The sequence below is a fragment of the Homo sapiens genome, chromosome 3 (genome assembly GCF_000001405.40).
Source record: "Homo sapiens chromosome 3, GRCh38.p14 Primary Assembly".
NCBI lineage: Eukaryota > Metazoa > Chordata > Mammalia > Primates > Hominidae > Homo > Homo sapiens.
Genome location: NC_000003.12, coordinates 42,567,495 through 42,581,413, shown reverse-complemented (window position 1 = coordinate 42,581,413; position 13,919 = coordinate 42,567,495). Strand labels below are relative to the sequence as shown.

At 39.0% G+C, this 13,919-nt stretch overlaps 1 protein-coding gene across 11 annotated transcripts in view; it reads left to right on the top strand.

Moving 5' to 3' along the window:
- Positions 1 to 13,919, top strand: part of SEC22C (SEC22 homolog C, vesicle trafficking protein) — a 53,110-nt gene that overhangs the window by 19,665 nt on the left and 19,526 nt on the right. For 9 of the 11 annotated variants that reach the window (NM_001201572.2, XM_047449170.1, XM_047449168.1 and 6 more), the window contains one exon: positions 12,341 to 12,549. In NM_001201572.2, coding sequence (NP_001188501.1) covers positions 12,368 to 12,549 — 182 coding nt within the window. In that variant the 5' untranslated portion in view covers positions 12,341 to 12,367. Of the gene's footprint in view, positions 1 to 935; positions 972 to 12,340; positions 12,550 to 13,919 lie in introns of those variants that run through there. The other 2 variants (XM_047449169.1, XM_011534212.3) reach the window with 1 other exon arrangement.

Below are 13,919 nucleotides of genomic sequence, written 5' to 3'. Positions count from 1 at the left end.
GAGCACTAGGTGTAGGACGTTCCATTACAGGTTTTGTGTTCATTACAGATTTACACATGTACCTCCAGAGCCAGAAGGATAAAGCACTCGGGGAAAAATTAGGTTTGTAGAAATAAAAGCCACGGAAGACTATTGCCAGTGTGAAAAGTAATTGGTGAAATTTGTGACATGGTCAGAAAAAAATACAGCTCAGAACCAACATATAGGGTAATATTTAATTACATTTTGCAGAGAAGAGTTGATCCCACTAAAGATAATTTTAGTAAAATGAAAAATGGAAGCAACTGGAAATGGTTTAACGTTGCCAGATAGAATTAAATAAACAAATAGTGTTTCCTCTGGAAAGTACATTTTGGACAATGTTAATAGCTCTGATTTAAGTGTTTGCATTTGCAACAGAAGCCATCTTGGAGTCAGTGTTTTTTATTCTTAGAATAACTTAGAAATCAACTAAATTCAAAAAGTAACATGATCATAGAGAGGACAACCTGACTTCAAGGTAATACAGTGGATAAAGAGCAGTTGTAACAAGTGTAATCTCAGGCTCCTTCCTCTACCAACAGGTCTCTGATTAGCTTATTAGTGCTCTAAGGAGAAGAAATTATTTTAGAGAAAGGGAGTAGCTGTAATTCCCAAAGTTGGATTTGTAGAAGAAGGATGTGGTGGAAAGATCCTAGGCTTTAGAATATTTGAAGTAAGGAAGTCTGGGTTGAATCTAGCTTTACCTCTTGAGCCTTACAGCTGCAGTTTTCCCACCTATCCGGTATAGATTATGTCTACCTTATAGTTACAAGCATTTAATAACATTATCAGTGTAAAAGGTCCTATCAAGTTTAGTTCCCTACCCCTCTTAGTTCCTAACAAATGACGAAACTGACCTCTACCCTCCTCTTCACTCCATCCCCAAGCAACTTGGAGCCTTAATAGAATCTACAGATTTGGTAACCAGTTCTCAAGTCCTGTGGCTGAAGGTGAATTCAGTAAGGGTGGCACAACTCAGTTTTGTCTTCTGTATTGTGTATTTGAGTCTTCTGTATTCTGTATATACTTTATGGTGAACACTTTGTGTTTGAATATTTGTGTGCCAAATGAAGCCTGTTTTGTCTAAATTCCTATTTTGCAAGGTGCAGTCATCTCTCTCTTTCTCTCTGTTTTTCTCTTTCTTTCTGTCTCTCTCAGCCTCTCTCTCTCTCAGTGCATGTGGTAGGGGCTTGAGGAGGGGTTAAGGGTAAAAGGTGGAAGAAAAAACAGGATCAAGGGTAGCCTGCAGCATAGGCATAAAGTCTTTGTTAATAGAACAGAGATAATCTATGACATGAGCAGTTTATAAACAGATGCTGGGAAGAAGATTTAGGAAATAAGGGAGGCAAATTAAAATATGTTTTTATAAAACCTAGTAACACGGATGCTGTGTATTTGATTACTACTTCACTCTACTTTTAGACAAATTTCATCTGTATAAACCTTTCTCTTTTTCTCTCCAAATACAGATTTATTGTGGAAAAGTGTTCAAACTGTAGATCAGAACTATGGCAAGGGATCTGTAAACCTGCATTTCTTGTTTCAGTGAGCAAAAATAAGGCAGCCCTTAGGTCATTCATTCATTTAACTTAGCAGTGTTTACTGAGTGCTTCCTAATATGTACCAGGCAAGGTGGTAGGTTATGACATCCACTGCCTTGTGGAAGGATCTGGTAAGATCTGGAAGACATTCCAGTGTCTCTTGTATGAACATTCTGAAGCTGCCTTTGTCCTTGTGGAATTGATTTTCTTTTCTTTTCTTTTTTCTTTTCTTTTTTTTTTTTTTGTTTTTTGAGACAGGGTCTCACTTTGTTGCCCAGGCTGGAGTGCGGTGATGCAGTCGCAGCTCACGCAGCCTTGACCTCCTGAGCTCAAGTGATCCTCCCACTTCAGACTCCCAAGTAGCTGGGACCACAGGTGTGTGCCACCATGCCTGGCTTTTTTTTTTTTTTTTTGTAGAGATGGGGTGTCATTGTGTTGCCCAGGCTGGTCTCAAATTCTTGGACTCAAGCAGTCCTCCCGCCTCAGCCTCCCAAAATGCTGGGATGACAGGTATGAGCCACCATGCTCAGCCTGCTTTCCTAGTTTTTTGTTTTGTTTTGTTTTGTTTTGTTTTGAGATGGAGTTTTGCTCTTGTTGCCCAGGCTGGAGTGTGATGGCACAATCTCAGCTGACTGCAACCTCTGCCTCCTGGGTTCAAGTGACTCTCCTGCCTCAGCCTTCTGAATAGCTGGGATTACAGGCATGTACCACCATACCTAGCTAATTTTGTATTTTTAGTAGAGACGGGGTTTCTCCATGTTGGTCAGGCTGTTCTCGAACTCCCGACCTCAGGTGATCCACCTGCCTCTGCCTCCCAAAGTGCTGGGATTACAGGCATGAGCCACTGCACCCAGCCGCTTTCCTGTTTTAAGTTGAATACTAGTTGTCTTTGAGCAGCTTTATTTCAAAGAGTCCTGAGATTATAGTACCTTCCAGTTTAGAAATGTGATGTAGTAAAGGAGCTATTCACTATAAAGTGTGCCCTTCAGTGTTCATGCATAAAACATCAAAATTACAGTTAATTAGCAGATAAGATATTGGTGGGGATATTTAAAAATTATATTTAAACAAAAAAGTATTAGCATAATTTAAGTAACCAGTACATGAGGATCTTAAGTTAATACTTTTTTCCAGCTTTTATTTTAAGATAATTATAGTTGCAGGAATTTGCAAATATAGTACAGAGAAGTCTCATGTACCCTTCACCTAGTTTTCCCCATTGATTACATATTATATAATTCTAGTAAACAGCAACTCCAGGAAATTGATGTTGGTATAAAGTGTGTGTGTGTGTGTGTGTGTGTGTGTGTGTAGTACTGTCACTTTATCGTGTGTAGATTCCTGTAATCATCACCGCAATCAAGATACAGAATTATTCCATCACCAGATGCCTTTGGCTGTTCATTCATAGTCACACCCATTCCCTTCCTCTCTACCATCCCTAACCTCTGACAACTGTTTATCAGCCCTCCATTTCTATAATTTTGTCATTTCAAGAATGTTACGTAAAAGGATGCATATTGTATATAACCTTTTGATACGGGCTTTTTATAACCAAGCATAATGCACTTGAGATCCATTCAAGTTGTTCTGTGTACCAGGACCATAGTTTATTCTTCTTCTTTGCTGAGTAGTATTCCATGGAATGAATATACTGCGGTTTGTTTAACCATTCACTATTTGTAGGACATTTTGGTTGTTTTCAGGTTTGGTTGTTATAAATAAAGCTGCAATGAGCAATTGTACAGAGGTTTTCGTGTAGACACAAATTTTTATTTCTCTGGGATAAATGTCAGGAGTGTGATTGGTAGATTGTACAATAATTGCATGTTTAGTTTTAAAAGAAACTGCCAAACTGTGTTTTGTTTTTGTTTTTTTTTTTGAGATGAAATTTCATTCTGTTGTCCAGGCTGGAGTGCAATGGTGCAGTCTTGGCGCACTGCAACCTCCGCCTCCCAGGTTCAAGTGATTCTCCTGCCTCAGCCTCCCAAGTAGCTGGGATTATAGGTGCCCACCACCATGCCTAGCTAATTTTTGCATTTTTAGTAGAGATGGGGTTTCACCGTGTTGGCCAGGCTGGTCTCGAACCCTTAACCTCAGGTGATCCACTCACCTCAGCCTGCCAAAGTGCTGGGATTACAGGCATGAGCCACTGCGCCTGGCCCAGACTTTTCTAGAGTATACCATTTTACAGTCCAGTAATGCATGAGAGATCCAGTTTGTCTCCATGCTTGCCAGTGTTTGATACTGTCACTATTTATCATTTTAGCTGTTCTGATGGGTAGGTAGTATTATCTCATTGGGGTCTCAAGTTGCATTTTCATAATAGCTCAATATCTTTTCATGCTCTGATTTGCCATCCATATATCCTCTTTGTGAAATGTCTGTATGTGTGTTTTTCCCATTTTAAAATTGGATTGTTTGTGTTTTTTCACTGTTGAATTTCAAGAGTTCTTTATACATTCTAGATTTGAGTTGCTTATCAGATATGTGGTTTACAGATATTTTCTCCCAATTTCTAGCTTGTCTTTTCATCCTCTTCACATGGGCTTTCCTAGAGAAGCAAAATTGAAAAGTGTTCAATTTTGTTGCAGTCCAGTTTTCCGAATTATCTTATGGATTATGCTTTTGGTGTCATATCTAAGAGCTCCTCACCAAGTCATAGGTCCTGAAGATTTCCTCCTATGTTTTCTTCCAGTTTTATAGTTTTATTTTTCATATTTATATCTATGATAAATTTTTAGTTAATTTTTATGTAAGATGTGAGGTTTAGGTCAAGATTCTTTCTTTTTACTCCCGGCACTATTTATAGAAAAGACTACCCTTCCTCCCTTAAATTACTTTTGCACTTTGTAAAAAATCAGTTAGATATACTTATGTAAGTATATTTTTGGGTTCTGTATTCTGTTTCATTGATCTATGTCTATTCCTCCAACAATACCACACAATCTTGATTACTATAGCTATATAATAAGTCTTGAAGTAGGATAGCATGGTTTTTCCTATTTTATTCTTTTTTCAGAATTGCTTTAGCTATTTTAGTTTCTTTGCCTTTTCATACGCATTTTAGAATAATCTTATCTATAGCCACAAACTCGCTTGCTTATTTTTTTTTTTCAGTAGTTGTATTAAACCTGTATATCAGTTTGGGGGAGAATTGACATCTTTGCTTTGTTGACTCTTCCAATCCATAAAACATGATATATCTCCCCATTTATTTAGCACTTTGATTTCAGGAATATTTTGTAGTTTTCAGCATACAAGTTCTGTATATGTTTTGTTAGATTTATATCTAAGTATTTTATTTAAAAAATTATAGCTTTATTGATATTATTTTTTAGAGTGATTATAAATGGTATTTAAATTTTGGTTTCTATATGTTCATTGTTCGTATATAGAAATGTAATTTTTTTTAGATGAAGTATCACTCTGTCCAAAGGACCAACTTTTTGTTTCATTGATTTTTCTCTGTTTTTAAAATTTTCCATTTCATTGATTTCTATCCTATTATTTCCTTCCATGTTTGTGATTTAAGTTTATTTTGCTCTTCTTCTAATTTCTTGACTTGTGAGCTTAAATTACTGTTTTGAGACTTTTCTTCTTTTGGAATGTAAGCATTTAGTGCTATGGATTTCCCTCTCGGTACTGTTTTAGCTGTGTGACACAAATTTTGATATATTTTCATTTTCATCTAGTTCAATGTATTTTTTTAATTTCCTTTATATTTCCTTTTTAACTTACGGATTGTTTTAAAGTGTGTGTTTAATTTTCAAGTGTTTGGAGGTTTTCTTTACCTTTCTGTTATTAATTTATAATTTGATTACACTGTGGTCATATAACACACTTTGTATAAATTATTTTAAATTTATTGAGTTTTGTCTTATAGTCCAGGATATGGTCTATCTTGGTAGACATTCTGTGGTTTCTTGACTTAAACTCCTGTCCTCAGCAATCCTCCCACCTCGGCCTCCCAGAGGGCTGAGATTACAGGTATGAGCCATTGTGTCCAGCCTATTCTGTGGGGTCTTCAAAGGAATTCTTCTGTTGTTGGATGCAATATTATAAATCATGATTATATCCTTTAGTTGATAGTGTTTTCTAGTTCTTTTTGTAAATCTTTGCTGATTTCTGTTTACTTGTCTTATCAATTTTTGAGGTGCAGTTGATTGAAGTCTCCAGCTATAACTATGGATTTGTCTGTTCCTCCTTTCACTTTATGAGTTTTTGCTTCACTTATTTACATCTTTGAAGTTTGGTGCAAACACATTCAGGATTATTATGCCTTCTTAGTGGACTTATTCTTTTATCATTATGTAATATCCTTCTTTGTTCCTGGACATTTTCTTCACTCTGAAGTCTATCTGATGATAATATAACTCTTGCTTCTTTTGATTAATGTTTGCATGCTATATTTTTTCCATCCATTTACTTTCAACCTACCTATATTGTTATACTGGAAGTGAATTTCATGTAGATAGTATATAATTGGGTCATGTCTTTTATCTACTGTCAGTCTCTGTTTTGGCAATTGTCATATTTAGACCATTTACATTTAATGTAATCATTGATATATATTAGGGAATAAGTCTGCCCTTTTTTGTTTTGTGTTTGTTCTGTTTGTTGTTGCCATTGTTGTTATTTCTCTGTTTTCTTTTCCTTGACTTCTTGTGGGTAATTTGAACATTTTAAAATAATTACATTTTAGGCCAGGCCTAGTGGCTCATGCCTGTAATCCCAGTACTTTGGGAAGCTGAGATGGGAGGATTGCTTGAGACCAGGAATTCAAGACCAGCTGTGGCAACATAGCAAGATCCTGTCTGTACAAAATATATCTTTTAAAAAATTAGCTGGGTATAACGGTACATGTCTGTAGTCCCAGCTACTTGGGAGGCTGAGGCAGAAGGATCACTTGAGTCTTGAGGCTGAGGCAGAAGGATGACTTGAGGTTGAGGCAGCAGTGAGCCATGATTGTGTCACTGCGTTCCAGACTGGGTGACAGAGTGAGACCCTGTCTCAAAAAATAATAATTTCATTTTATAATCTATAGTGTTTTTTAGTATATCTCTTTGTATAGTTTTTAGTGGGGTGTATATGTGTTTGTGTGTGAGTATGTGTATGACTTGTTGTGGTCTCCTGATGTGTTTTACTATTTCAAATGAAATGTAGAAACTTTACCTCCTTTTATGTCTTTGAACCCTCCCATTTATAATTGTCTTAAATAGTTCCTTTACGTATGTTGAGAACCACATGAGACATAATTATTGCTTCATTCACCGAACATAATTTAGAAAACTCATGAGAGAATAATCTGTCATATTTTTAAAAGTTTTTACCCTTTCTGTTGTTCTTTCTTTCTTCCTGATATTCCAGGATTTCTTCTTTTATCATTTCCTTTCTGTTTAGAGAACTTCTTGACAAATTCCTTTAATGTTCCTTCATCTAAGTATGCTTTAATTTTTCTTTTATTCCTTTTTTTTTTTTTTTTTTTGAGACAGGGTCTTGCTATGTTGCCTAGGCTGGACTTGAACTCCTGGGGCTCAAGCAGTATAGCTGGGACTACAGACACATGCCACTGCACCTGGCTGCTTGAAGGATATTTTTGCTGAATACAGGATTCTGGGTTGGCAGTTCTTTTCTTTTAGTATTTGAAAAATGTGCTACTTCCTTTTGGCCTCCATGTTTTCTATGAGAAATTTGCTGTCATTTGAATTGTTTTCCCCTTATAGGTAAGGTTATTATTTTTCTCTTGCTGCTTTCAAGATTTTTTCTTTGTCTTTAGTTTTCATAAGTTGGGCTTCTGTCTGTGTGCTGGCATGGGTTTCTGGGTTTATCCTTTCTGGGATTTGTTCAGTTTCTTTGAATCTCTGGGCTTATGTCTTTTGCACAGTTTGGGAAATATTCAGAAATTATTTCTTTGAATACTTTTTCAGCCCTGTCTTCTTTCTTTTGTCCTCCAGGACTCAAGTAACATGAATAGTTGGTCATTTTTTAGAGTCTCACAGGTCTCCAAGTCTCTGTGAAATATTTTTCAATCTAGTTCCTCTCATATTGTTCAGATTGAGTAATTTCTATGTTCTGTCTTAATGTTTACTCATTCATTCTTCTCCTCCCCCCCATATTTCTATTGAGTCCATCCATTGCATTTTTTACTTTAGTTAATTAATTACTTTATTTATTTTCATACAGATGGGGGTCTCATTATGTTGCCCAGGCTGGTCTCAAACTCCTGGTCTCAGGTGATCCTCTTGCCTTGGCCTCCCAAAGCATTAGGATTATAGATGTAAGCCACTGCACCTGGCCTCAGTTTTGTTTTTTGTTTTTTTGTTTTTGACGGAGTCTCGCTCTGTAGCCCAGGATGGAGTGCAGTGGTGTGATCTTGGCTCACTGCCATCTCAGCCTCCCGGATTCAAGCGATTCTCCTGCCTCAGCCTCCCAAGTATCTGAGACTACAGGTGTGTGCCACCATGCCCGGCTAATTTTTGTATTTTTAATAGAGACGAGGTTTTACTGTGTTGGCCAGGCTGTCTCGAACTCCTGACCTCAAGTGACCCACCTGCCTTGGCCTACCAAAGTGCCAGGATTACAGGCATGAGCCATCGTGCCTGGCCTCCTCGGTTTATTTTTAATTCTAGAATCTCCATTTAGTTTTTATATCTTCTGTTTCTTTACTGAGAGTTTTTATTTTTCATTTTTTAAAAGTGGCTGGGTGTGGTGGCTCACCCCTATAATCCCGCCACTTTGAGAGGCCGAGGTGGGAGGATCACATGAGCCTGAGAGTTCAAGATGAGCCTGAGCAACATAGCGAGACCCTGTGTCTACAGAAAAAAAAAGTAGTGGTGTGTGCCTGTATTCCCAGCTATTCAGAATGCTAAGGTGGAAGGATTGCTTGAGCCCTGGAGATCGAGGCTGCAGTGAGCCATGATTGCACTGCTGTATTCTAGCCTGGGAAACAGTTTATAATTGACCATTGAAGCATTTTTATGGTGGCTGTTTTAAACTCTTTGTTAGATAATTCTAATATCTCTGTCATCTTGATGTTGCCATCAATTAATGTCTCTTCTCATTGAAGCTGAGGTTTTTCTGGTTCTTAGTATAGCCAGTGATTTTCTATTGAAACTTACATTTTGGATGTTTTGAGATCTGAATCTTACTAAAATCTTCTGTTTTAGCTGGCCCTTCTGAACACCACTCCAGCAGGGGAAGCAAGGGACTGTCTTATTACTGCCCAATGGAAGTAGAAGTCCAGGTTCCCTACGTGGCCTCTGTTAACACCCTGGGGGAAAGGGGCTGCTCATCATTGCCTGGGAGAGATAGGAATTCTGTCTACCCAGTGACACAGTGGGAGAGAATGGCTCATTACTGCCCTCTAGCCCCCTACTTGGCCTTCTCTGATGCTACCCCGGCAGGATGGGAGGTGGAGAATGGGGCACTTCATTACTGTAGGGCAGTGGTGGAAGTCTAGGCTCTTCACTTGGCCTTCGTTGGCAGGTGTGTGGTAGCTACAGTTTTTTTGTGATGTTTGGCTGGAGTAGAGCAGTTTTTTACCTGCAAGTTTTTTGTTTTGCTATGCATTACCTTTTCTAGTTTTTTTGACTGGAGAGAACAAAGTTTTTTTGGCTTTTTTTTTTTTTTTGGTCTGTACCCATTGGCATTTCTTGCTAGCTTCTCCACCACTCAGTCTGTGATATGTGAGACAAACAAACAAACAAATAAGAAAAAACAAACTCAGCAGACTCACAGCTGTGTCATTCCTCAGACCCCAAGGTCCCTAGCCAGTCTTCTTCCTTCTCCACCTTTCAGAATTTTTATTTTTATTTTTGAGACAGGGTCTCACTCTGTCACCTAGGTTGGAGTGCAGTGACACAATCTCAGCTCACTGTAACCTCTCCCTCCCGGATTCAAGCGATTCTCGTGCCTCAGCCTCCTGAGTAGCTGGGATTACAGGTGTGTGCCACCACGCCCGGCTAATTTTTGTATTTTTAGTAGAGACGGGGTTTCGCCATGTTGGCCAGGCTGGTCAGAATTTTTAAATGTTTATTTTATATATAATGTCCAGGGTATTTCAAGGGAGAAGTAGGGAAAAGTACTTCTACTTCATCTTTCCAGAAGCAGAAGTTCATTCTGTTTTGAGCAGTGGTCAGATCTCTTATTTGAGTACAGGCTGTCTCATAATAGCTCATAACCTGAATTCACAAATATCAAATCCCTGTAAAGATAAGCCCCTTCCTTTTTGTATTATTATTTTTCCATCTTTTAGAATACAAAGTATATTTTTACAAAGGAAAATAATGTCAAGGATGTTGTCTTCATTCTTATACTCTTCCGTGGCAGCCTATAAAATCTTTTAACCCTTCAGGCAGCTGCCATCCTGTACATTCACATACACTCACAAATACACACAAACAAGTTAGTATCACAGTGTCATCTTCATTAAACCATCACAAATATTTAAAAAAGACTTTTAAAAAATAGATGTGAGTTTCACTAGTTTGCAGTACTAGTAACTTGATAGAACTGAAAAACAAGAGGGGTATTTATTTATCTTGAATACTAATATTTGAGGAAAAGCAAGTTTGATCACCAAAGGATAGGATGGAGAAGTAGAGAACCTGGAGGGGTCATTTGGGTCCTTTAGAGAGTGGTAAAACTAGTTCTTCTGATTACCATCGCTTGGAAATGTCACCCTTTTCTTTTTTATTGGCTTAAGATAATACCTGGCATAAGGTAGATGCTCCATAAAGACAGAACTACAGAGGATGTTTGGAATTGACAGTTGGAGTCAGTGCACACTGCTTTCCTTTAGAGGGGCATACAATTTACTCAGCTCCCAAAAAAGTACCTTTCTTATTTTGCTTTGGGGTGTTTCTGTCCTGTCTCTAACTGTTTTGGTATCTCATTGACTGTCTCTTTTTGGCCTCAATGTCTTCATATCTTGGCTTATGGTTCTTTTTGGAGTTATTGTTGAGAGCCTAAGCCCTGGTCTCAAATTGATCTTGTAGCCTTTCCCTATGTCTGTCAGGGCTTTGTGCCCTATAACTCTTTTTAAAAAATGTTTTAAAATTAAATATTTCAAATACTTACGAAAGTATAGAAGATAGAACAAAAGGAATCCCCTGATTCCTTTTGTGGTGCCTTGAGGTCTCATCATTGGCTAGGCGTCTGCTGTAAAACCCACAGTGTCTTCTGGCAGTTGACCTGGTCCTGCCGTTGGTGCTGCAAACTTAGTAGCTTTTATGTGTGGGTCCTGGGGCTTTTCACATTTTTACTCCCCAATGGAAGGTGTGGAGAAATGGGTCAAATGGACTGTGTAGGATCTGTTGGCTGGTAGCCTAATTTTTCTTTTTGCCTCCTTTGTGTTTTTATATCACTGCAGTTTCTACATGTATATTGTGGTAATAATTATTCATTCATTCATCCATTCCAGACATGGTCTTTATTCTTAGAACTTATATTTTGGTAGTGGAAATGCAAAATCAGTAAAATAGAGAACAAAGAGGTAGGTTTCCTAAGAATTTAAAAGAGGGAGAAAGTACTTCTAGCTGGACAAGTCTGAGAAGGTGGATTTGAGACAGTCTTTGATTTGCATTTGGATATGGAGAGATGAAAGGAGTGGCATTGCAGACACAAGTGAAGAATGCATAGAGGTACAGAGATGAAGAGTAGTGTGCATCTTGGGGTTCTGAGATGAAGAACTGAGATGCCAAATAAGGTTGCATCCCTAGAGTTCTTTGGAAGAGAGGTCCACTGGTATCCTGTTATCATCCTATCAAGTAAAGGGCCTGATAGTAGAGGATCCTGTCAAGTAGAGGATTTGTGAAATACGATGTGTGGACACATCCTATTGGAAAGACTTATCTGAGCTGTAATAGCCACCTCACTAATCCCTAATTGCAGGGCTGCCACTCACAGATGTACAGGTTATGCCCTGAACAAGCACCCTGCAGTGTTAACAGATAGGGCTAAAACACAGCCAGGCTCTGCTAGCAGAAATGGTGCAGGCCTGTTTCCACCAAGAGAGGCATCCTTTCCTAATCTGCCCAAGGCACCACGAGGGTTCAGATCTGTTTCTTTCTGTTTCTTAATGGTATTCACATATCACTGTAATATGATTTGCTAAATGATTGCCTTTAGCCATATGTAGGGATTCAGTCATCACTTTGAAGACTGACTCTGTATCAAACATTTGCAGAAATTCAGAAGGACATGATCTAGAGGTTTCATTTTTGCCTTCTGCTTTCCTTGTCACCAGCATTAGGTTAGATGCTCAGAATCTCTCCACCTTCTTCTATCTCCTTGCAAGTGAGGATATGGCAGCTAAACTGCTTAGTGCCTATCTCCATGGGTGACCTGAAGTTCACAGGTCACTGACATCAATCCTCGCTGCTTCAGTGTCTGGTGCTTCCTGTCTCTTTAGGGCTGTCTTGCTCTGTGTCCTGCTACCTGCCATTACTACTGTTGGTCCTGAGCCCTCTGGTCCTGCGTCCGTTCTTCTCTATTCCTTTCCCCATCATCCCAGTTGGCTTAATTCTGGAAAGGGAGAGACTCATTAGAGAAAAAGAAAAAGAGAATTACAACTGCAGAAAAGGCAGGGAGGATAATGAAGGGAGGAAAGTTGGGAGTGATATAGCAGTAGAGGCCAGGGAAATAACAATAAAAGCAACATTTGCAATTATAGTAAGAATGAGGGTGAAAAACCCTAGAGTGGGCATTTCACAGGTGGGGGTATTTCTGGCACTGTCATTTGAGCCTCAGTAACAAGGTGACCTTGCTTTCCTCAGGTGTCCTCATGACTTCTCTTGTGGACCATGTCCGTGATCTTTTTTGCCTGCGTGGTACGGGTAAGGGATGGACTGCCCCTCTCAGCCTCTACTGATTTTTACCACACCCAAGATTTTTTGGAATGGAGGAGACGGCTCAAGAGTTTAGCCTTGCGACTGGCCCAGTATCCAGGTCGAGGTTCTGCAGAAGGTTGTGACTTTAGTATACAGTAAGTGATCATATTCACTTTTTCAGAATATTAGCAAAATTTGGATTACTTTTAACTACATGTAGTGATAATCTTATGCTGATCACATTGTGTATTAAAAGTAGATCTAGCATCAGTGGTCTGAGATCATGTGTGTCTACAACAGAATCATAAAAGAAATGGGTTTTCTTAGAGCCTCAGGAATGGCTGCTCCAACTTTTTTTTTTTTTTTTTTCTTTTGAGGCAGAGTTTTGCTCTGTCACCCAGGCTGGAGTGCAGTGGCACCATCTTGGCTCACTGCAACCTCCGCCTCCTGGGTTCAAGCAGTTCTCGTGCCTCAGCCTCCTGAGTAGCTGGGATCATAGGCACATGCCACGATGCCCAGCTAATTTTTATATTTTTAGTAGAGATGGGGTTTCACCATGTTGCCCAGGCTGGTCTCGAATTCCAGATCTCAGGTGATCCACCTGCCTCGACCTGTCAGAGTACTGGGATTACAAGTGTGAGCCACTGCACCCAGCCGTGGCTGCTCCACCTCTTAACTTCTGTTAGTGGAGTGCCCATGAGCATTGGGAGACCTGGGTTCATGTCTTTAGTTTTGTAGTTTTTTCTTCACTCAGATGCAGGGGAAGAGAAAAGGTAAGGAGGGAGGAGATACTAGATTATAATGTGGGGAGGGAAAATAATGAGAGTTAGAAAGCCAAGAAATAAGAAAAAAATTTCATTTTTACTTTATTTATACCTTTGCTTTTTAATTTTTTCACTTTTTTATGTTTTAATTTTTCACTTTTTAATTTTTATTTATTTATTTTTTTGACACAGTTTTGCCCTTGTGGCCCAGGCTGGAGTGCAGTGGCAAACTCTCTGCACACTGCAACCTCTGCCTCCTGGGTTCAAGTGATTCTTCTGCTTCAGCCTCCTGAGCAGCTGGGATTATAGGCACCTACCACCACGCCCGGCTAATTTTTGAATTTTTTAGTAGAGACGGGGTTTCACCATGTTGGCCAGGCTGCTCTTGAGCTCCTGACCTCAGGTGATCTGCCCACCTTGGCCTCCCAAAGTGCTGGGATTACAGGCGTGAGCCACTGCGCCTGGTCATTTTTAAATTTTTATTATGTGACAGGAGCAGGGGAGTGAAAAATAAGTGAGAGTAGGTCTCTTTTCTCAAGGAACTTAAAGTCTAACAAGGTAACAAGAGAAATATATAACTAACTATAATACAGTGGGGAAAATGTTCCATTGGAAGTAGGAATCAAGTGATTACAATAATCCTGGTTACAATAACTGATATTATTGAGTGTTTTCTATATGCCAGGCACTATTCTGTGTTTTATGTGGCTAATGATGTAGGTAATAGTGTTACACCTGTTTTGCAGAGGAGGAAACTGAGG